This window comes from Homo sapiens, chromosome 12 (genome assembly GCF_000001405.40).
Source record: "Homo sapiens chromosome 12, GRCh38.p14 Primary Assembly".
Lineage (NCBI taxonomy): Eukaryota > Metazoa > Chordata > Mammalia > Primates > Hominidae > Homo > Homo sapiens.
The window spans coordinates 129,062,186-129,083,415 of record NC_000012.12 but is presented as its reverse complement, the minus strand read 5'-3'; the positions used below and the strand labels follow the sequence as shown (position 1 = coordinate 129,083,415).

Below are 21,230 nucleotides of genomic sequence, written 5' to 3'. Positions count from 1 at the left end.
AGTCTCACTGCAGTGCATCCCACACGCTGTCACAGCTGCCTGGTTCAGACATGGCAGTGGAGTGAGTGTGAGAGGGAACAGCTGCTGTTCTGATGGAGACCGAGAAGGTGCCATCAAAGGGCAAACTGCACAGAAGGGACCAGATGTTGAGGGAGCAGCTGACATCTGTCTCCTTCCAAGCATCCTGGCCCTCTCTGCCTTTCTTATCACATTTGGCCTCACCTTGGGTTACATATTCACCTGCTTTGTGTGCTGGGTTACAGAGCCACACCACTCATCCCTAGCCTTGTCATGTTAGCTATCCATTCTGTCTAACGTAGTGGCTTATCCCAAACCTTAGTGGTTTAAAACTTATCCCCAAAGTTAATGTGGTTTAAAAGAACAACATGCTGGCCAGGCATGGTGGCTCATGCCTGTAGTCCCAGCACTTTGGGAGGCCGAGGCAGGCAGATGGCTTAAGCTCAGGAGTTTGAGCCTGGGCAACACAGCAAGACCACATCTCTACATAAAATTTTAAAAATTAGCCAGGCATGGTGGCTTGCACAGTAGTCCAAGCTATTCAGGAGGCTGGAGTGGAAGGATTGCTTGAGTCCAGCAGTTCGAGGCTGCAGTGAGCTGAAATTGCACCACTGCACTCCAGCCTGGGTGACAGAGCAAGACCCTGTCACAAAAAGAGAAAGAACAACACGTATTATCAAACAGTTTCTGTGGATCTGGAATCCAGGCATGGCTGAGCTGGGTCTTCTGAGCAGGGTCTCTTACAGGCTGCAGTCCAAGTGTCAGTGGGGCTGGGGTCCCATCTCAAGGCTCATGTGGGGAAGGATCTACATGCAGGCTCACTCGTGCGGTTGCTGGCTAGTCTCAGTTCCTCACTGGTGCTGGCCAGAGGTCACTCTCAGCTTCTAGCTGGGTGGAAATCTCTACAGCTTGGCTCACAGCATGCACCTCACTTCATCAGAGTGAGCAACTGCAAAGAACCAAGGAAAGAAAACACAAGCAAGACAGAAGTCACAGGCTTTTCAAGTCTAGCCAGGAAAGTGACCATCCAATCACTTTTGCCATAACTTTTTCATTGGATGAAAGAAACTAGGTCCAGCCCACACTCAAAGGGAGAGGTTTACACAAAGTAGTAAACCCCTCACCAGGAGGTGAGGGGCCACTGTGAACACTTTAAACTCTGCTGGCTGCACCGGCCATGCTGATGGGTCAGTGCTCATGCCAGAGCAGTGGTTAGTATCTGAAGTTCACCTCTGCATGTCTGGCTATAAACTCCTTGAAGTCTCATGGCCTACCTACCTCTGCAGCCCCCACCAGGCTCCACACACGGCCCCTTACAGAGGACCAACAAGTAACTGTCTGCAAACTGCACTGCTTCTTTCACAGGCCTGCCGGGGACAGTGAAGAGGAGGAGGATGATGAGCGGAGGGGCCGCGGCTGCACCCTGCAGTACCAGCACGCCATGGTGCGGGTCCTGACGCAGTTTGTGGCTGAGGCGGCCGGCCCTGGGGGACACCTGGCCCACCTGCTGGGCTCAGACTGGCAAGTGGACATCACGGAGCTGATAAATGACTTCATGCAGGTGGAGGAGCCCAGGATCGCCAAGCTGCAAGGCGGACAGATCCTGATGGGGCAGGAGCTTGGGATGACCACCATTCAGGTAAAAAAAAAAAAAAAAATCCCCAAATCAAGATCTCTCTGTCTTCCCACCTCTGCTCTACCTAGAGGAGAAACCAGCTGTTTGTCATTGCTGGGAATGGTATCTATTTTTAGGATGGGTAAATTCAAAGAAATTGTGGAGTAAGCAATACAAGCGATTTTGGCTGGGTGTGGTGGTTCACGCTTATAATCCCAGCACTTTGGGAGGCCGAGGCGGGCAGGTCATGAGCTCAGTAGTTTGCGATTAGCCTGGGTAACATGGCGAAACCCCATCTCTACCAAAAATACAAAAAATTACCCGAGTGTGGTGGTGCATGCCTGTGGTCCCAGCTACTCGGGAGGCTGAGGTGCAAGGATCGCTCGGGCCTGGGAAGCAGAGGTTGCAGCGATCTGAGATCGTGCCACTACACTCCAACCTGGATGATGGAGCTAGACCCCATCTCAGACAAAACCACAATGCAAGCCATGTAATGATGTGATGAGAATCTCAAAATTCCTCACATATTACTTATAGGGGAGAAACTCTGGGCTGGCTCCCATGGTGGCTCACGCTTGAAACACATGATTTTGCCCAAGCCATGGTAGGCGTTACCATCTTGGTAAACAAGCTTTTGAGGTGAGCTTACCTGATCTGAATCACAGGCACGGCCAGCAACTTCCTGCTGAGCCACTTTCCGCCACTGAGCATGGTCACCTAAACCTTCCCACGGCTTCAGGATATTGTGGCCGCCCCTACCGAGTCACAGCCGCGGGCCTGATGAGAACCTGAACAACTCAGAAATGTGCTAAAGGACGAAGTGAAGTGATTGTGCCTCCATATGTCTCGTGGGCCCCTTCTGCTGGGGAGCGGGTGACGGAGAGGACCAGTGGCAACACTTGGGTTTTGAAACACTTTAACAAAACAGTGTTCTGGGAGGCTTGTAAGGGTTTGGTCATTTACCTCCCAGCTGAGAACAAAGCAAGAGATTGTTTTCTTTCTGTGTACATGTAAGGGGTGCAAGTGCAGCTTTGTTACCTGGACATATTGCGTGTCTGCCTTGTTAGTGTAGCCATCACCCAAATAGTGTACATTGTAGCCAAAGGAAGAGTGTATTACTCAGCAGCTGCCCCATCTGCAGGCAATGCGATTGTCTTATCAGGCAATCTGTGAGGTTTCTAAAACAGCTGTGCATGAGGAATCATTATAACTGAGACTAGATTGGATCGTGGAAGATTTAAAACATATCCATTCTGGAAAATTGGCTGGTATATCTAACACTTCATTTTATCCAAGGAGGAAAATAAATGGGTTTGGGCCGTAGACCAGGAGTCGCATGCTCTAATGATCTCTAAAGGCTGAGAAGCTACCATCAGTGAGGAGAGTAGGCTGGGTGTGTGCTGAAAGACAGACAGCAGCTGATTTTCCTCTGAGTGTTAGAGAGACAACAGGGAGTGGTGGTGCCTGTGGAAAAGGGGCAAGCTCTTACTCAGAGCCAAAAGCTGCCAAGAAGAAACGCAAGTCTACTGCAGCCATATGTTGCAATTTTCCAGAAAAGCTGGAAGTCTGTTTTTATATGCAATCTTCTGGCTCTCTAAATGATGGTCATTAATTCTACCTTAAAATATGATTTATGTCAGACAAAACATATCTGTCTCATAGATGAGAGCTTGCAACCTCCACAATTGACTAAGAAGTTGAAAGACCTGAATCCCTACCATAAATCTATAGGCTAAACTGATACTGATGCCCAGAAACTCACAGCGAGATGAGAATTTGGTATTAACATCTTCCCTTAAGTGATAATTTAAGTGCAAAGGGGAAAAGCCATACCGTTCTGAAACCAGGTGTCAGGGAAGAGGAAGTGGGCCAGCTTCCCACACATTAAACATGAACATTATTTTGGTGAGGCCTCTACTCCTGCGAGCCTTGGTTCTTTTCTCTTTTTTCTCACTGTGTCCTCCTGAGTCATAAATTCACTTGTCCACTTTCTTCTGGGGACACACCTCTCATGCTCGCCACCATTTAAATTGTCCCAATCGGACCAGAAAGTGAAGGTGGCATTCGGGTAGAAGTATGGAGCTTTGATTCCTGGTCTCAAAGGGTCCTGGGAAAACTGCTGTCTTGACCTACATCATAAATATCACCAAAAACTTGAAAAGAGAAAGAGGTCGAGAAAGCAGGAGAATGGAGGATGAAGCCCATCTCTTCTAGAAGGAAGGTTGTTATACGGGGCTGTGAGGAGTCTAAGACAGCTGTTTATCATTTGGGCGAAGGGTGAGAGGAGGAAGAAGTGATTCCACAGACGTTCCTCAAAAGCAGGATTTCCTGTTCAGGGTCTAAATTGCACATAAGCCTCATTTTCCAGGTCATTCCAGGTGTCCAGAGGAGAAATGAGGCTTTGGGTTGTGGGCATCAGGCGTAGACATTCAGAACCTACGTTTATCAGAATATGCCCAACGATATTCCTCATCAACAGGCATCATGCGCTGCGTTTCCCAAAGTGTACAGTGTGGCCTCCAGTGACACGCGTGATTGAGATGGACCAGCAGGATCCGCCTTCTAGTTGCACATTGGTTTTTATGTGCAAGAGCGAAAGCTATCAATATGTAACCAGTACACCCAACCCGTCATTCACTGGTGATAGGAAGGCTTTTGAAAAAAACAAATCATTTAAGTAAAATAAATAATTTTAAACAAAATACACACTGTGCTGTAGAAGAATCATAAAGCTAATAGTCGAATGAAAACGTCAGTTCCTCCTGTCCAGGATGGAGCATGGTGGGAAACGGAGCTGATGTGTGGGGTGTGGGGAGAGGGCCAAGCCCTACCTGCCCACTCCTTGACACCACCTTGCTTTATGCAAAAAATGCATTACATTTTCTCAAGCAATACATATGATTCAGAAGGTGGTGTGAGTGGGAAAGGCCTGTTCTCATTCATTCTGGCTCACATGTTGCCCTGCCGCTGCCTGCACACTGGCACTTCCTCCTGTGACTGGAGGCATTGCCTGGACCACAGAAAGCCTTTCCTTGTCATGTCGCTTCTGCCCTCCAGATCCTGTCTCCTCTGTCAGACACCATCCTCGCTGAAAAGACCATCACTGTGCTGGACGAGAAGGTGACCATCACAGACCTCGGGGTGCAGCTGGTGACAGGGCTGTCACTCTCCTTGCAGCTCAGCCCAGGAAGCAACAGGGCCATCTTTGCCACTGCAGTGGCTCAGGAACTTCTGCAGAGGCCAAAACAGGTATGGAGGAGGGCTTGAGACACACTTCAGCAGGGTCCCTCACCAAGTGGATCACACACCAGGCAGGCACCACGCCAGGCGGGTCGCACAATAGAGTGGGATCATATATCGGGCGTTTGTTTCTCCATCTGCAAAGGGCTCTTCTGAAGCAGGTGACTCCTCTGCCTCATGTTTCCCAGCTCCCCCATGCAGAGATGAAAAAAATAAATACATATATACATAAGGATTGCAACATGTGAAAAATGAGAAGCCATTAAGGGGCAGGAGCCCTGGAGGAAAGGCCCACCCCTCATCCACCATAGTGCAAGTGCATGCAGGTGGTCACCTGTGCTCTCCACACGCTTCCTGCTTCCATGAGGGCATGAGGGCACGTGCAGGCTCAGAGCAGGTGCACAGCCTGATGCCAAGGTCCTGCTGGAGCGGAGGGTGACAGACCTGCTGAGTGGGGAGCCTGTGGCGGGAGATCGCTTCCAGACCATTCATTGTTCAGCTCAAGGCAGAAACAGAGAATTCATGGAGATGTCAGTCACAATTTTCTTTTACTTTATTTGGAACCAGTGTGAGCTAATAGAGTGTGTTTTGTGTGTTGTGTGCATATGTATATGTGTGTTGTGTGTCTATGTGTTGTGTACATATATGTTGTTTTTGTGTGTCTGTGTATGCATGTGTGTGTCTTGTGTCAGTATTTTGTGTTGCTTGTTTTGTGTTGTGTGTTGCATGTGTGCTTGTGTTGTATAGGCACCTGTATGCATGTATATATGTGTGTTGTGAATGTATCGTGTGTTGTATGTATGCATTGCATGTGTCTATTTGTTGTTTGTATGTGTGCATATGTGTGTGTGTTGTGGGTCTGTGTCATATATGTTTTTGCTTTATGTGTGTCCGTATGCATGTGTGTCTTGTGTATTTTCTGTTGTGTGTATGCTTGTGTTGTATAGGTGCCTGTGTGCATGTATATGTGTATGTGTGTTGTGTGTATGTGTGTGATGCATGTGTTTGTATGTGGATACAATGGCTTACAAAGGGGACTGTTATAGGGGACCTTTGAATGTAGTAAGTTCTCCCTCATTAGAGGTGGATAAACATTATTTCTTAGAACATAGGAATTTGGGTGAAGCTTGCTTAATAACAAAACATGGTGGTTGCAGGTCATTAGTTCTTTTGCCCCATGAAAAGGGATCATCCTCATGTGGGGCAGCTGGAATCCCTCCGGCCCATATGGGACATTGTTCTGACTGCTTCCCTTCTGGATCAGGAGCCTTTTCTGCGCACTCTTCCTCGGCAGGGTGAGGTACCAGGCCTTCCCTGCCTTCATGCACCAGCTGCGGCTGTGGCCATGTTCAGAGGAGGCAGGAGTGCCACACTGGACTTGCTAAGGGGCACAAAGAGCCTTCCCATTTTCCCAGCCTGCACCTGTCACATAATGCTCCCCTCTCAGGCATGAGCTAATCTCCTAGTCCTTATACTACAGTCTTTGTTTGCAGAGTTTTGGGTTAGAAAACACTTGAAAGTGGTTGATCCCAATAACAGAATCGAATTCTTGGCCAAAGCAAACCTCCTTTTCTCAAGGAAGGATGCCAGCCGAGAGGCAAGTTACAGATAGCAATGAAGAAATAACCTGAGGCTTTTCTCTGTCTTTGTGGGTGATAACATCAGCGGACCACCAGCTAGGCGTTAAGGAAGGGATAAGATGCAGCTAGAAGAAGGCCAGAAGGCTAATCCGTTCCTGACATGCAGAGCTAAACACGCTACCCTGAGATTTGCTCCATGGTTGGTTTGCAGGGCTCTTACTCCCTGCCTGCAACTTGGCTCTGACAGTGGTAGTTTCAAGAACTCCGTTGTGCGTTTGAATGCTCTGCTCAGATTTCATGGCCGATTGAGAGAACCTGGTAAGTCAGTGTCATGTCCAGTAGCTTTTGCACTGTGCCTTGGCAAGGTTATCCGCTTAGCAGGTAGTCCAAGCCAGTGTCTAACAGAATAAGTATTTCTTGGCTGAGCTGAAGGAAAGAGCAGAGGCCACCAGCCACATTTGAGGAGACTTTCTTCTTACTTCCAAAGACTAAACAACAACTGTGTAAAATTACTTCTGTCATGGTCAGGGGCCAGTAGGTCATAAGAGAAAAAAAAATCCACTCAAGCAAAAGCTTAAATAACAAAGGATGTGTTATGAGGATTATAGGGATCTCACAGAACCCAGCTGCAAGACCTTGGAGGAAAGGGAAGGTCAGCACTTTCATGCCCACTCTCTCTCTCACCTGTGTTTTTATTTTGGTCTAATTCATTATTGTCTTCCTATGGATAAATGCCATGCCCAAACATTTGCTTATACATAGTCCATCAGAGGGCTTCATTCCCCAATTTTATATGTGCCCCCACTACACATCTTCCCAAGCATAACTTTGTCAGTCTTGTCTTTCTGGTTTCAAGTTCGAGAGAGAGAGAGTAATGCTGGCTGGCTCAGCATTGCTGAGATTGATGGCTCTAATGGCAGCAGCTGTCTCATTTCAATCAGCTGTTGCTGTGGCCCAGCGGGCAGGGTCATGGGCCACCTAGTGCTGTTCATCATCTCGGGCTTGGGGCGGAGCAGGTTCTCTGAGAGGGAGGGAGGGAGGGAGGAAGCAATGGATCTGCCACTGCTGTCAAGCATAATGTCATCTTCACTAAAATTAAAGGCTGGCATGAAATTGGAGGTTATCTCCAATGATCTGCCTGGTCAAACTATTTGCAAAGAAAGTTGGTCTAAATCAACAAAGTGAAAACAAGCTCTGGCTGCTTTTTGGTCTTCCAGTTTCCTCCAGTTGGGTTGGGTGGAGGAAGAGATGAAGACTCTCCAATCAAGATGCTTCTCCCTCTCCTGCTGTCAGGCTTAACTCCTCCCTCCAAGCCAAGACTATGGCCTGAGGCCAGGACAGATCCACTCCTGCAGACCCAGAAAAGGCAGGGCTGGCAAAACCACAGCCTGCAGCCCTGCAGTGGGACCTCATCTAGATCAGAGGCTTTTATCTGTATTGCCAGTAATCAGTGGAGACTCAGTATTACAACTTAAAAATAATGTAATAAATATTTTTCATTTGAATGTGTAACACTTGTAAATGATTCCACTAACCAGTAATTTCCTTTGTCGTGCAATTTATTATTGTTCAGAAGTTGATTCTGAACAGCCCAAGGGCCCATCTTCCTTTTATAACAACACCTACAGGAGAAAAAAAAAAAAAGCAAATCTTCTTACGGATTGTTTAATACTGGCCCTGTTTTGTCATTTTGTTGTTGTTTTATTTTGCTTTTTTGCATCTTTGTGAGAATTCATTTTCTTTTATACTCTTGGTACTTCTTATCGCTTATTTCTACACTGTTTGAAAGGTTTGTCTTTGTTCTTGTAGCAATAGTTTTGCCGTTGTGTGTCTACTGTACTAAGACTTGGGGCTCAATGAGCTTTTTGGCCCATTTGATTAACTTACATATTTTTCTCCATAGGAAGCAGCCATCAGTTGCTGGGTCCAGTTCAGTGATGGCTCAGTCACGCCCTTGGATATTTACGATGGGAAAGACTTCTCCTTGATGGCCACATCTTTGGATGAGAAGGTAGTCTCCATCCACCAAGACCCCAAATTCAAGTGGCCTATCATTGCTGCGGAAACAGAAGGACAAGGCACCCTGGTCAAGGTGGAAATGGTTATTAGTGAATCCTGCCAGAAATCCAAGCGGAAGAGTGTGTTAGCTGTTGGAACGGCAAACATCAAAGTTAAATTTGGCCAAAACGATGCTAACCCCAACACCAGTGACAGCAGACACACAGGGGCAGGGGTTCACATGGAAAACAATGTCAGTGACAGAAGGCCCAAAAAACCCTCGCAGGAATGGGGGAGTCAGGAAGGACAGTACTATGGCAGTTCTTCTATGGGACTCATGGAGGGACGGGGCACCACGACAGACAGGTCCATCCTGCAGAAGAAGAAAGGCCAGGAAAGCCTTTTAGATGACAACAGCCACTTGCAGACCATCCCCAGCGACCTCACCAGCTTCCCAGCCCAGGTGGACCTCCCCAGAAGCAATGGGGAAATGGATGGGAATGACCTTATGCAGGCATCCAAAGGGCTGAGCGACTTAGAAATTGGGATGTATGCTTTGTTGGGAGTCTTCTGTTTGGCCATTTTGGTCTTCTTGATAAACTGTGTGACCTTTGCATTAAAATACAGACACAAACAGGTTCCCTTCGAGGAGCAGGAAGGGATGAGTCACTCTCATGACTGGGTTGGGTTAAGCAACCGGACAGAGCTGTTGGAGAATCACATCAACTTTGCCTCCTCGCAAGATGAGCAAATCACTGCCATTGACAGGGGCATGGATTTCGAGGAAAGTAAATATCTCCTCAGCACAAACTCCCAAAAAAGCATCAATGGGCAGCTGTTCAAACCTTTGGGACCCATCATCATTGATGGGAAAGATCAGAAAAGTGAGCCCCCAACATCCCCTACCTCAAAAAGGAAAAGGGTAAAATTTACCACCTTCACCGCCGTCTCCTCAGACGACGAGTACCCCACCAGGAACTCCATCGTGATGAGTAGCGAGGATGACATTAAGTGGGTCTGCCAGGATCTGGACCCTGGGGACTGCAAAGAGCTGCACAACTACATGGAGAGGTTACATGAAAATGTGTAAGCCAGACACACACAGACATTGGTTCTCACTCACCTTTCAGCCTTTAATTCCAGGATGTGTAGCAACGGTGCCCCCGGAAGAGAAACAAAGCAGCAGGACAAAATAAGGATGACACTATCCATACAGCCTCAGCCAATGACCCCGGCTCGGCGGCGAGGCCTGGAGTCCGCATCGACGCACACATTCCAGAGTACAGTGTCTTGCTTAAGAGGTTTATCATGCATGGCAAGATTTTTAAGACTTGAAACAAAAACGAGTTCTGAATCACTGAGCGTCTGAGAGCGTCCAGGAAAGAACAGCCTCTCTCTCTCGAATCAAAGCAATTTGGATATTGTAAAATCCACATGGCTCCAATATTCAATATTGCAGACTATGGAAGAAAAGTACAACTCAGGTGGAGCATCCATGGATCGCATCCATGGATCAATGGGAGGAAGCGTGTCATCGAAACTGGAGCAGCACATCTTGCTGTGAGCGCGATCACAGGCAGTCCAGTGCCGCCGTCAGCTGTGGGAGGCATGATTGTGAGTCATTGTCTCTCAAAGGCTGGGCCAGAGCTGTCTCAGATCATGGACAGGCCAAGGAAGTGGCTGACAAGGACTGAAAGGGAACATGTGGGCTAACAGGCCACAAATACCTTTGTAACTACATGCCAAGGACAAACACATGGACGCAAATCCTCTGAGCCCTTCAGGGTACTTCTTTATTTGTAAACTAAGGATACTGGGCATAGAATTTGAATCAGGTTCAAAGAACCACGCTCTTTTGATTCATATCAAGTTCACAATGTATCCATTTCTATTCCTCCACTGCATTGCCATCCTCCCCAAAGCCGTTGGTCACCTGTGGGTGGGGGAGGGAGAGGGCAGTTTGTAGTATTTGCTGGGTCTTTTTTCTCCCCCTGGGTTTTGTGTCAACTCCCAAGTGACATTCTGTAGAGAAGCTCCCCCCGCAACCTGGGCATATGTCCCACGCCGTCCGTCTTTGAAGAGGCTGGTCTCTAGGCATGGGCGGTAGTCACGGTGAATTCCATACCAGGGGATATACATTCCCTTGCTTTACTAGAAAGAAAACAGGGCCACTTGGGATGGGTCTTTCACTGTTCATGGCAGATCTCCTGTCCAAAGATGTGGCCTCGAGGCTGTTGAGACAAATCGGGGTGCCTGTGTGGAACGTGCAGGGCGTGTGGAGTTGGGGGGGTTCTGGGTGTGAAAGTGGTGGATCCAGCAGGAAGCCCAGCCTCACACACACCGGACAGCACAGAAACCTTCTTCATCTTGGAGGTGCGAAGGGATAAGGGGCATCAGTGCATGTGGTGAAGATGCAGGTTTGCAAGCACTTGGTCCTGCAGTCAGCCCCGAAAGGTTCAGCATTGCTTAAGACCAGCCATGACTCTGGATATCCCTGAATCCCTTCACTTATGAAGCCTATGAAGATGGGGGCAAGGATACATCAGAGAATTCCTGCCTCATCTCACGCTCACTCCAAGGTAGAGAATGGTGTGTTGGGTGATTGCCAGCCAGATAGGATCCTGCAAAAGATGGTCGGGGGCAGCGGGTGGTGGGCAGAAGAGGCCGTGCTGTTGAATTGATCTTCTATTTTTCCCTCTGGTCATTTTCTCTCTCTCTCTGCTCTTCAGTTGTCTGTTTTCCAGTCTCTCTGTGTGTCTGTCTCTGTATCTCTCTCCTCCTTTGAACCTATCTTCTCCCTGCTTCCTCTCCATCTCATCTCTGTAATTTTGAGTGTGTGTCTTTACTCCTTCTTCCTCTCCATAGAATTGAATTCTCTTTAGATCATGTGTGTGTAAATTTCACCAGTTTACCCTCCCAACCTTAGCCCTCTCCCCTGCAACTGTGGTGCTCTTGAGACTGAGGTTTCTGCAGCCAGTAAGTCACCTGCTCCTGTCCGCAAGCTTACCTACCTTGTTTGGTTGGGTGATTAAGCTGTCACCCCTTTTCAATGAGAATCCTTTGCTTTCAGTAACGTCCTCATATTTCTTTCCATTCTTACCTGTGTCATGTTCTGTTGAATACTGCAGCCGCTGCCCGCTTCCAAATCCATCTGCGTGTAGAATGTACTGTAGATTGTAAGAATGTAATATATATTTATAAACTTACTGACTGTAAATATAAAGTTTGCATTCAGTGGCTTTATGGCTGTCCTTTGTCTTCTACACGCTGACCCCCTCCAAGGGGCTGGCATCAATTGCAAATGGCTCTGCAAATGCTGCAGCTCTAAATGAAATGCTGATTGAAGGATCCCAGCACAATCCAGTTCCACCTTTACATCGTGTAGTGCTGCTCCCTGCATTGAGGGGATGTTGACACGTGATGACAAAGTGCATTGTGTACCAAGTATCTCTCCTCCAGGACCTGAAAGGATTTGCAAATAAATCACACGTGCAATTCTCTCCTAAAAGCCTGCTGACTGATGGTGGTAAGTAAGTGGAAACTGTGGCAGGCAAGCATGCATTCCAGCCTCCTTTTGGGCTGAGGTGAGGAAAATTCTCTGTCCTTCCTTTGGGTCTCGAGTGTACATACAACAACTCTGGACTGGGTTAAAAAGTTGATTGTAGATTCCTTTATCAACTGCAGCCCCAAGACAATTCTACGAAACAAGAAGATGCATGGAATCCTTATATTCATGCAAACAATAGCAAGTGATTGATAGGTCAATCATTTATTCAGCCAGTATTTACTGAGCAGCTACTCTACTCTGTAGCAGGAATAGCTGTGAGCACTAGAGACAGAGTCACACATACAGCAAATGCACATGCACTCTCCAAAACCTTACTTATATCTATTTGGGTAGGGGGAATAAACAGCAAACAAAATAATTTCAGATAGTCATGGGTTTTTTTGTTTGTTTGTTTTTGCTTTGAGACAGGGTCTTGCTCTGTCTTGTTGCCCAGGCTGGAGCGCAGTGGCACAATCTCAGCTCACTAAAACCTCTGCCTCCTGAGTGCTCAAGTGATCCTCCCAACCTCAGCCTCCCGAGTAGCTGGGACTACAGGAACATGCCACCACACTCAGTGAATTTTTGTACTTTTTGTAGATATGGGGGTCTTGCTATGTTGCCCAGGCTGATCTTGAACTCCTGGGCTCAAGCAATCCTCCCACCTCGGCCTCCCAAAGTGCTGGGATTACAGGTGTGAGCCACGGAACCCAGCCAGTCATAAGTTTTGTAAAAGACAATGAAACTGGTTGCAGAATGGAGAAAATTGAGCCAACATTCAAAACTTTGATGATTTCACCTTAGAAATCTAGATTTCTAGCATCGCTTAAGAATTCAGACACTGGCAAAATGGGGCTTCCAATCTGACTTGGCCTCGATGGGGCAGAGTGGCACTGAGGTTTCGAGTCCTCTCCACCCACGATGTCTTCTGGACCCAGAGTTGACCAACTCCATTTATGCTCCCTCTCACCACTCTTCTAATACAGAAGTGTTTCTCCCAAGTCACAGCTCTACCCAAAAGTGGGGGAAACAGAGAGGGAAGGAGCCGTGTGTTTTCAAGATCATTCAGAAAGAGCTCATTGCTTTACAAAAGGGAAGAAAAATCCTGTGTGTCTCCTAGGCAAATATAGAATGTCATGTCTAAAGAACACAACTGAAGACGCCATTATGATGCAAACCGTCATGCGATCTATGTGCCCAGAATCTGAGAAAGAACTGATAGGAAAGTCTTAACTGAAATGTCCACGAGGTGTCTTTTCGAGTGTGAATAAATAAGTGATGCGGCTTGGTTTCTCTTGCACCTGGCTGGTTCGCTCTTTGACGCCACCTGCGGGGCCCCTGGAGGCACTGAGTTTCCCAAACTCCCAAGGAAGATGGCGCTGGAAGCTGGAAGGCTGCCGGCCTCATCAGCATCTCCGTTGGGGGCCTGTCCCTCGCGGCTTCTCAGTTCCCTCCCTGGACTCCGGCTACAGGTACTTTACCATAACTAACTAAATACCACAAACTGGGCAGCTTTAATAACAGAAATGTATTGCTTCACTTTTCTGGAAGCCTGAAGTCTGAGCTCAGCGTGTCGGCAGAGCTGGTTCCCTCGGAGGGTTTGTGGGGGAACTCCTCCAGGCCTCTCCCAGCTCCTGCGGTTGCTGGCATCTTGGTAGTCCTTGGCTTGTAGAAGCATCACTCTGATCTCTGCCTTCGTCTTCATGTGACAGACTCCCTGTGTGTGTGTCTGTGTCCGAATTTCTTCTTTTTTGTGAGACAGGGATCTCACTTTGCTACCCAGGCTGGAATACAGTTGTGTGATCAACGCTCACTGCTGCCTCGACCTCCTGGGCTCAAGCAATCCTCCCACCCTAGCCTCTCAAGTAGCTGGGACTACAGCCACACACCACCACACCTAGCTAATTTTTAAAATTTTTTGTAAATATGGGGTCTCACTATGTTGCCCAGGCTGGTCTCGAACTCCTGCCCTCAAGCAATCATCCCGCCTTGGCCTCCCAAAGTGCTGGGATTACAGGATAAGCCACCATGCCCGGCTCCAAATTTCCCCAAGGAAGCCAGGGCCCACTCTACTCCAGTATGACCTCATCTCAACTAATTACATCTGCAATGACCCTATTTCCATACAAGATTGTCCTCTGATACTGGGCATTAGGATTTCCACTATGAATTTGGGGTCGGGGGAGACACAGTTCAATCCGTAACACCAGCCTCTGGTCCTAAGGTCCTGGGCAGCTAAGCCTGTGCACAAGCCGAGGGCAGCCAGTTGTGACTGCCCTGGCACTGGGCTGGTGGGGCCCACTGGCCTTCCAGGAATGCATCTCATCCCTCAGAGCCTCGCCCTACCCTCGGTTTCACACCCGTTTTACAAATGAGTCTCTGCTAGGACACCCTGGGAGTGCAAGTGAACAATTTATCTTTTTCCTTCTGGGAAAGCTCAGAACTGTGAATTAATTACCCAACTGGCGCTTCCCAAGGTGCAGTCATTAGCTCCTTGCCCCCCTTTGTTTTGCCCTTGCAGCAGCAAATGATGCTCTGGCAGGAAGACGGATGGGTCCGGGGTGTCCCCCAGTGGAGACTGGCATCCTCTGAGCCAGTGATTACTGTGGATGACTGATCCAGGGGGTGGAGAGGGGAGGCAGAGGCGAGAAGGGCGACAGGCCAGAGGCCCGATGCAGTAGTGACTTGGATCGGAGGAATCTCTGCCTGGCCAACAGGTCCTTCTTCTCAAGCACACTGTGACACGCCTTCCCCACATCTGACCCCAAACGATATGAGTATATGGGAAAACATGCTGATCTGTTCATCAGAAAGTCAGAGAGAGGAGAATGCAGGGTCTGTCCTGGGTACAAAGGCTGCATGTGTTTTGGGAGATGTATTGGTTTCCTGGGGCCGTCATAACAAATCACTGCAAACAGGGCTGCTCACAGCAACCGAAATTTATTCTCTCACCATTCTGAAGGCAGAAAGTCCAAAGTCGAGGTGTCGGCAGAGGTGGTTCCTTCCAGGTGTTATGAGGCCAAATCAGCCCCATGCCTCCTCTTCCAGCTTCCGGTGGCTCGCGACAATCTGGGGTCTCCTGGCTGGTGGATACATCACTCTACCCCCTGCCTCTGTCATCGCACGGTCCTCTCCCTGCGAGTCTTTGTGTCCAAGTTTTCTTAAGACATTCAGTCGCTGGATTTTGGATATACCCTAATTCATATGACCTCATCTTACCTTGATTACATCTGCAAAGACCCTATTTCCAGATAAGGTCACATTCACAGGGATTAAGGGGTAAGACTTCAACATATCTTCCTGGGGGGCACATTCCCATCCACTCCAGGGAAAAAGAAGTCCCCATGGCAGAGAAGAAGTTCTGTCTTCCTGTTTGCTTTAAAGAGAATCCTTTTATTGCAAGTGATTGAAAAAATAAAGTGGGCTTAAGGGAAAAATAGCAGGAGTGAGGAAGAGGATGTGTTACTTTCTAGGATGGAACAAGCAGCAGTGCATCCAACATCCATCCCGGATGGTTGGCCCAGGGGCTCCCTGTCTCTTCTCCTCTCTCTGTTTTCCTCTATATTTGCCTATTTGTCTTCATTCTCGGACAGCCCATTCTACGTAGCAGCCTCCGGAAGCTCTAGACTTGTTATTAAAGTTGTGCGGGTAACAGTTGCAGAGCAAAGACAGTTAACTCCCAGCATGTTCAGAAAAAGTCCTCCGTTGCCTCCTATTGGCCGGCGTGAGTCACTGGCTAAACATAGATCTGTTGACGGAATGGCCCAGGCCTGGTCACAAGTACCTCGCCCCAGCCCTGGCACCTGGAGAATGAGGAGCAAGTCCTCATCTAAACCACAGCATAGAGACTCAGAGGAGAGGTTCCAAAGGCAGCATGGAGACATTTTGCCATTAACTGGGGAGATGTATGCTGTTCTTGCAAAGCAATGCACCCCAGGACGCCCTTTCATTGCCTCCTCCTGGCTTCTGTGCTCCCAGATTCCATTCCCACGAGTTTTGCTTTCTAGACATTCAAGAAGACTCCTGAGCCAGTATTAACGGACCCCAGAGAATGCTGGGCCGTGGTGAAGAGTGGGAGTCAGCCCCTTCACAGAAAACCTCTGTGGGGCCACTGCAGAGACCCCGTCCTGTCTGGCCGAGTCCCCGTGAGCGCCCCCTCAGGGCCAGCACTCTGTGTAGCTGTTCTTTTTTGGACAGCCAGACCTTGAATTTTTCAAAGCTGTTTTTCCTGATGTTGAATCGAGCCTGACTCACCAATTATGCTAATGGACTCGGAGTCCGGTGGCCGATGATTGTCTTATGACTTTAAAAGCTTCCGCCAGGCTCTTCTTTGTTCCCCCTGCAGGCAGAGCATTGCGAGGCTCCTGGGTGTATCTTCTAAGTAGGCAGTCAATGTTTTCTAAATGAAAATTAACAGAGTGACCTTTAAAAAACATGATTTAAATCATGTCACTCCTGGCTTAAAACCCTCCAGTAGAGGCCCATAATTCCTGGAATAAAGTCTGGACTCCATCATATGACCAAAAGGTCTTATGTGATGCAGAGGTGCCTGCCACCCACCCTCACGCCCACCACCCGCCCACTCGCTCACTGCGCTCCAACCCCACCGGTTTCCTTCTGTCTATTCCTCTGTCAAAAGAAGTGCACTCGCGGCTGGGCGCAGTGGCTCACGCCTGTAATCCCAGCACTTTGGGAGGCCGAGGTGGGCGGCTCATCTGAGGTCAGGAGTTCGAGACCAGCCTAGCCAACGTGGCGAAACCCCGTCTCTACTAAAAATACAAAAATTAGCCTGGCGTGGTGGTGGGCACCTATAATCCCAGCTACCTGGGAGGCTGAGGCAGGAGAGTCGATTGAACCTGGGAGGCGGAGGTTTCAGTGAGCCAAAATCGAGCCACTGCAGTCTAGCCTGGGCAACAGAGTGATACTCCATCTCAAGAAAAAGAAAAAAAAAAAAGAAAATAAAAAGAAAGAAGCGTACTCCCACCTCAAGGCCTTTGCCCATACTGCTTCTTTATGGAACTCTATTCCCCCAGATTCTCAAGGTCTCACCCCTCCCCATCATGCATGTCTCGGCTCATACTTCTATTCCTAAGAGAACACATCAGAGCAGCCTCACCCCTCCCATGCCACTTTCTTCCACTCTGATCATCTTATATAGTTCATAGCGTTTAAAGCGCCCTAAAATTGTTCTGTTTGCTTTTAGCTTATTGTGTGTCTTCCCTAGTAGAATGTGAGTTCCAGAGGAGTAAGGAGATAGTTGAATCTGTTCCCTGCTATATACCCTATGACTAGAGTCATGCCTACAAAGAGTCAGCAATCAATAAACATTTTTTGGATGAATGGTTGCATGGCTAGATGATGGTGGATTGGTGGATGGGTAGATGGATGGATGAATGGATGAAGGCTCATTAGATAAATGGATGGTAGATGGCTGGATGGTTGGATGGTGGATGGATAAATGGATGGATGAAAGTTCACTAGATGAATAGATGAATGGTGGGTGGTTGGATGGATGGATGGATGCACGGATGGATGAAGTTTGATTAGATGGACAGATAGATGTGGATGATGGTGGACGGATGGATGGATGGACAGATAGATAATAAATGGTTTACAGAGCATGAGTGATGAAAGCACAATCTGATAAATTTAAGTTAGCCACCTAGTGAGAACCAGGAGACTGAATGCTGCCTGAGGATTGATTTTATATAATCCAATTGCTCTGCTATATGGACGTGACACTAGCGTCTTTCACTGGGCCAAAGACAAGCCTTCATCATCTCTGTACTGGTCATTTCAGGGGAGACAAAAATAAATTAGATGCAATTTCTTCCCTCAAGAGACACATAGAAAATAAAACCTCTTGTCATCTCTTTCTATAGCAACCTTGCTGGCTTTCTTTCTAGGCCTAGCCCTGTGTGAATGAAGCACGGTTTAAAAGAAACAGCCCTTCCTCCTCAGATTAAGCTTACTTAATGGAAGCCTTCCCCTTAACCAGGTTTCTGCCAGTCATATTCCATACAGTTGATAACTCCAGTCTACTGGTAAGTAGACATTTTCCTGGCTGGTTCATGTTTCCAAGAAAAGGGAGGGGTCTCTTCTTCCTCTATAGCCCCTCCAATACTTGATACATGTTTGGGCTTGGGAGTTGAGGCACAGACAGTATTGCCCAGTGCATTTCCCAGCTGCCTTGCAGTTCAGGTGGGGGCACGCAGCCAATTCTTGGGAACGGCCATGAACAGTAATGAGAGCTGTCACTTCCAATGACAACAGGTAAGAGCCAGTGTGAGCTCTCCATGTGCACGTTGACACGTGGCATCACATGAGGGAATCTGGAGAGCACCTCGTCCACATCAGACTCTTTTCAGCAAGAAACAGACCCTTGTTCTGCAATACCACTGGTATGTTGGGTTGTTTATTACTGTAGCAGCCCGCCCCCTGACCTGATGAATACAAGACTTATTAATTTATCAGATGCTGCTCGGCTTAGTGAGTAGCTGCATTCCAACAAGCACATCTTCATGTGGAAGCGGGAACTTGGTGGGAAAGGCGAGGGTTGGATTCAGGCCAAACTTGGTTACTTTTCCCTTTTAAGGTTCTGCCTGACCTGGGCGCCCAAGAAATCTTGGCCTGAAGGAGCAGAACAGATGCATCATCCTGAGCGTGAAGAGGCCTCCCGAGGCCTCATTGTGATTTTTATTAGCAGCTGCAGGAAAGCGACAGTTGCCTGCCTTGCTCCTTGTGCTCGTGGCGGGTGTGAGCTCATTAGTCCGCTGACTGTCTGCTTTGCTCTGTCTGCAGTGATGCTGCCCAGAAGCCTGGCTTTCCCTAGAAGGCCCCTGTGCTGGTCAGTCCTCCAGCTGCCCTGCCTGCCCTCCTTCTCTGCTCCATGCAGATGTGCATTAGTGTGGGAGGTACTGACCCAGCTCCAAAGAGTCAGGCTCTTCTGGGTTGCACGTCCTTGTGCCTCCCCACAGCTTCCTTGGACACTGCAAGCAGCTTAATGTCAGGAAACAGCAGGCCTGAGCTCCGTGCCAGCTGCCTCTCCTTCTGAGAGTGGCAGATGTGAGCTGCCTTCCAAGCTCAAACCTCAGCGTGGCCTCTGCTGCTCAAAGAAAAGTGGAGGCTGCCCAACGGCTCCTGTGCTCCCCGTTCGTTTTTGAAGTGTTTTATGATGTTAAGAGTTGATTCCGTAATACAGCCAGGAAACAAACACAAGCCACTCTTGTCCCTGAGCCTCCAGTTCATCACTATAGCGTGCAGAGAATGTCACTTGGACTGTGCACCCCTTGAAAAGGCCTTGCAGCTGGTAAAGGTCTGCGTGGACCCCCCAGCTTTTCACAACATACCGGTGGCTCTGCCTGAGCATGCCTCTGTGGACCCCAATTCCTGTGCTTTTGTTGGCGGTTACTGCTGCTACTTAAGACACACCCTTTCTCATCTGTATGTCCAAAGCTTTTTTTACTCCCCAACTTCCACTTCCATGACCCCAGTTCAGCCCCATGGCTTCAGTCTGTGCCCGCTGCTTCCCTGTGCCAAGCCTTTGCTAGAGCAGGTGAGCCCCATCCCACCAGAAGTCCGGGCCACCTCAGTAAGGTGGCTGGAGTGACCTTACAGGGGCAGCCACAAGACCTCCACCAAGCAGCAGCCTCTTCTTGGCATGCATGCAGGAAGAGCTGTTCAAACAAACACTCAGCAGAGGTGACCATCTTGAATTGGACACAAGGGTCCCTGAGACTGTGTTATGTGGCATCGTCTGGCTAGGAGCCAACTCTACCTTGGCCAGCCGTTGGCCTCCCCCTAGCCTGGTGGGTCTGCAGAGAAGCTGGAGTTACTTAAGCCCAAGGCCTCAAGCCAGCCTTCTCTTGAACTCCAGGCCTTGTAACAAAACAGATCGTGGTCTTCCAACCTCAAGAAGGGTAGTGAAGGCTACACCCCAGAAAAGAGATGAACGCCAATGAAAATAGAGATTTTTGTCCTTCCTAGCAGGTCCCTAGAAGACAAAATCACCAGCGCCTTCTTCTATCCCTATCATTTCAGGAAGATGTAAACCAAGAATATCTCTCAAGTCACCAGATTAAGCTAAATATCTCAGTGCATAATTTCCCTTTTCAAAATTTCCATTGTTCCATGAAAAAGAACCATCCCTGTCCACCTTCAGGGTGGGTTTTCTGGGCCCCCCCGTCCTTAAGGGGCAGGAGATTCCTTCCTATCATCCTCCTGCCCTGGCACCTGCAGTGTCTTCAGACACCACATGAGGTAGACTTTGCTGCTCTCTTGGGGTGGTTCTGTCCATTCCCAAGGGGCATTCTCCCAGCCATGACTGTCACCTATGATTTACCATGGGGAAGATAGTCACTGAGCCTGGAGGGACCCTGGCGCAGAGCTCAGGCACCAGTAAGTGAGATGACTTCCCAAATTATATTTTTCTCCTTTGATAAATAAACAAAATCTAAGTTCTCCCAGTTTCAAAGAGCCTCAAGGAATATGCAAAACTCACTGTTGTCCCTTAGGTATTTGAAAATAACTATGGTTAACAACAACAACAAAAAATCATCTGGGTCCATGGCCTAGCAAATCCCTGCTTCTTCCCTACTTTTGAGATGCTTTAAAGTATACGAAGGTTTTGAAAATAATTCCCCATCTGTCTTGCTGCTCCTCAAATAACTGATACATAATCAATATGTGCAATTAAAATTTTCCATTTGTTGATATATAATTGGACAGACAAATAGCCTGAGCTCTAAGTGTCAATATATAGATCTTGGCAAGGAGGATAATCTTCTACGAGCAGCTATTAGTCATATCATACACCTGCTTGGGAAGATTTCAGTAACTTTGTGTTGGAGAATATGAATCACTGGAGATTCTAGTCCATTAAAGATTCTAGTCTTGATCTTCAGGCTCCAAATGTCAAAGGAATTTTGTCAGAGTCACATGGCTAGGAAGTGGCAAAGCTACATGTTTTGGATAACCAGCAATTATTGGGTACAGCACAATAGCTTCCAAACCCCTTTTCTTTTTTTTCTAGTTTATTCCTTCATTTTTTTTAATTTTATCATTATTATATTTTAAGTTTAAGGGTACATGTGCACAACGTGCAGGCCAAACCCCTTTTCTATTACCTTCACAAATTCCCTGGGGCATCACCTGCCCTTCTTGAGCACATTCTTGATAGAACAGTAAAGGCCAGGGGCTGAGTTTTGCCACCAAAGTTAAAGGGTTGGGGCCTTCC

At 48.0% G+C, this 21,230-nt stretch overlaps 1 protein-coding gene and 1 long non-coding RNA gene across 2 annotated transcripts in view, besides 1 other annotated feature; one reads left to right on the top strand and one right to left on the bottom strand.

The window, feature by feature from the left end:
- The window catches only part of TMEM132D (transmembrane protein 132D), an 832,300-nt gene extending 820,610 nt beyond the window's left edge, over positions 1-11,690 (top strand). Inside the window, exons 7-9 of the mRNA NM_133448.3 lie at positions 1,384-1,657; positions 4,691-4,882; positions 8,357-11,690. Coding sequence (NP_597705.2) covers positions 1,384-1,657; positions 4,691-4,882; positions 8,357-9,541 — 1,651 coding nt within the window. The 3' untranslated portion in view covers positions 9,542-11,690. The remainder of the gene's footprint in view (positions 1-1,383; positions 1,658-4,690; positions 4,883-8,356) is intronic.
- LOC124903086 (uncharacterized) lies at positions 641-9,660 on the bottom strand. Its single transcript, XR_007063612.1, has 3 exons — positions 9,575-9,660; positions 8,341-8,510; positions 641-967 (listed from the first exon to the last, which is right to left on the bottom strand). It is a non-coding gene; the product is annotated as an uncharacterized LOC124903086 (long non-coding RNA).
- Positions 18,376-18,881: an enhancer, noted in NCBI's record as "H3K4me1 hESC enhancer chr12:129549080-129549585 (GRCh37/hg19 assembly coordinates)". NCBI's record gives its function as "activates a minimal SCP1, AML or CMV promoter by ChIP-STARR-seq in naive H9 embryonic stem cells {active_cell/tissue: H9 hESC(naive)}" and the evidence as "EXISTENCE:reporter gene assay evidence [ECO:0000049][PMID:30033119]".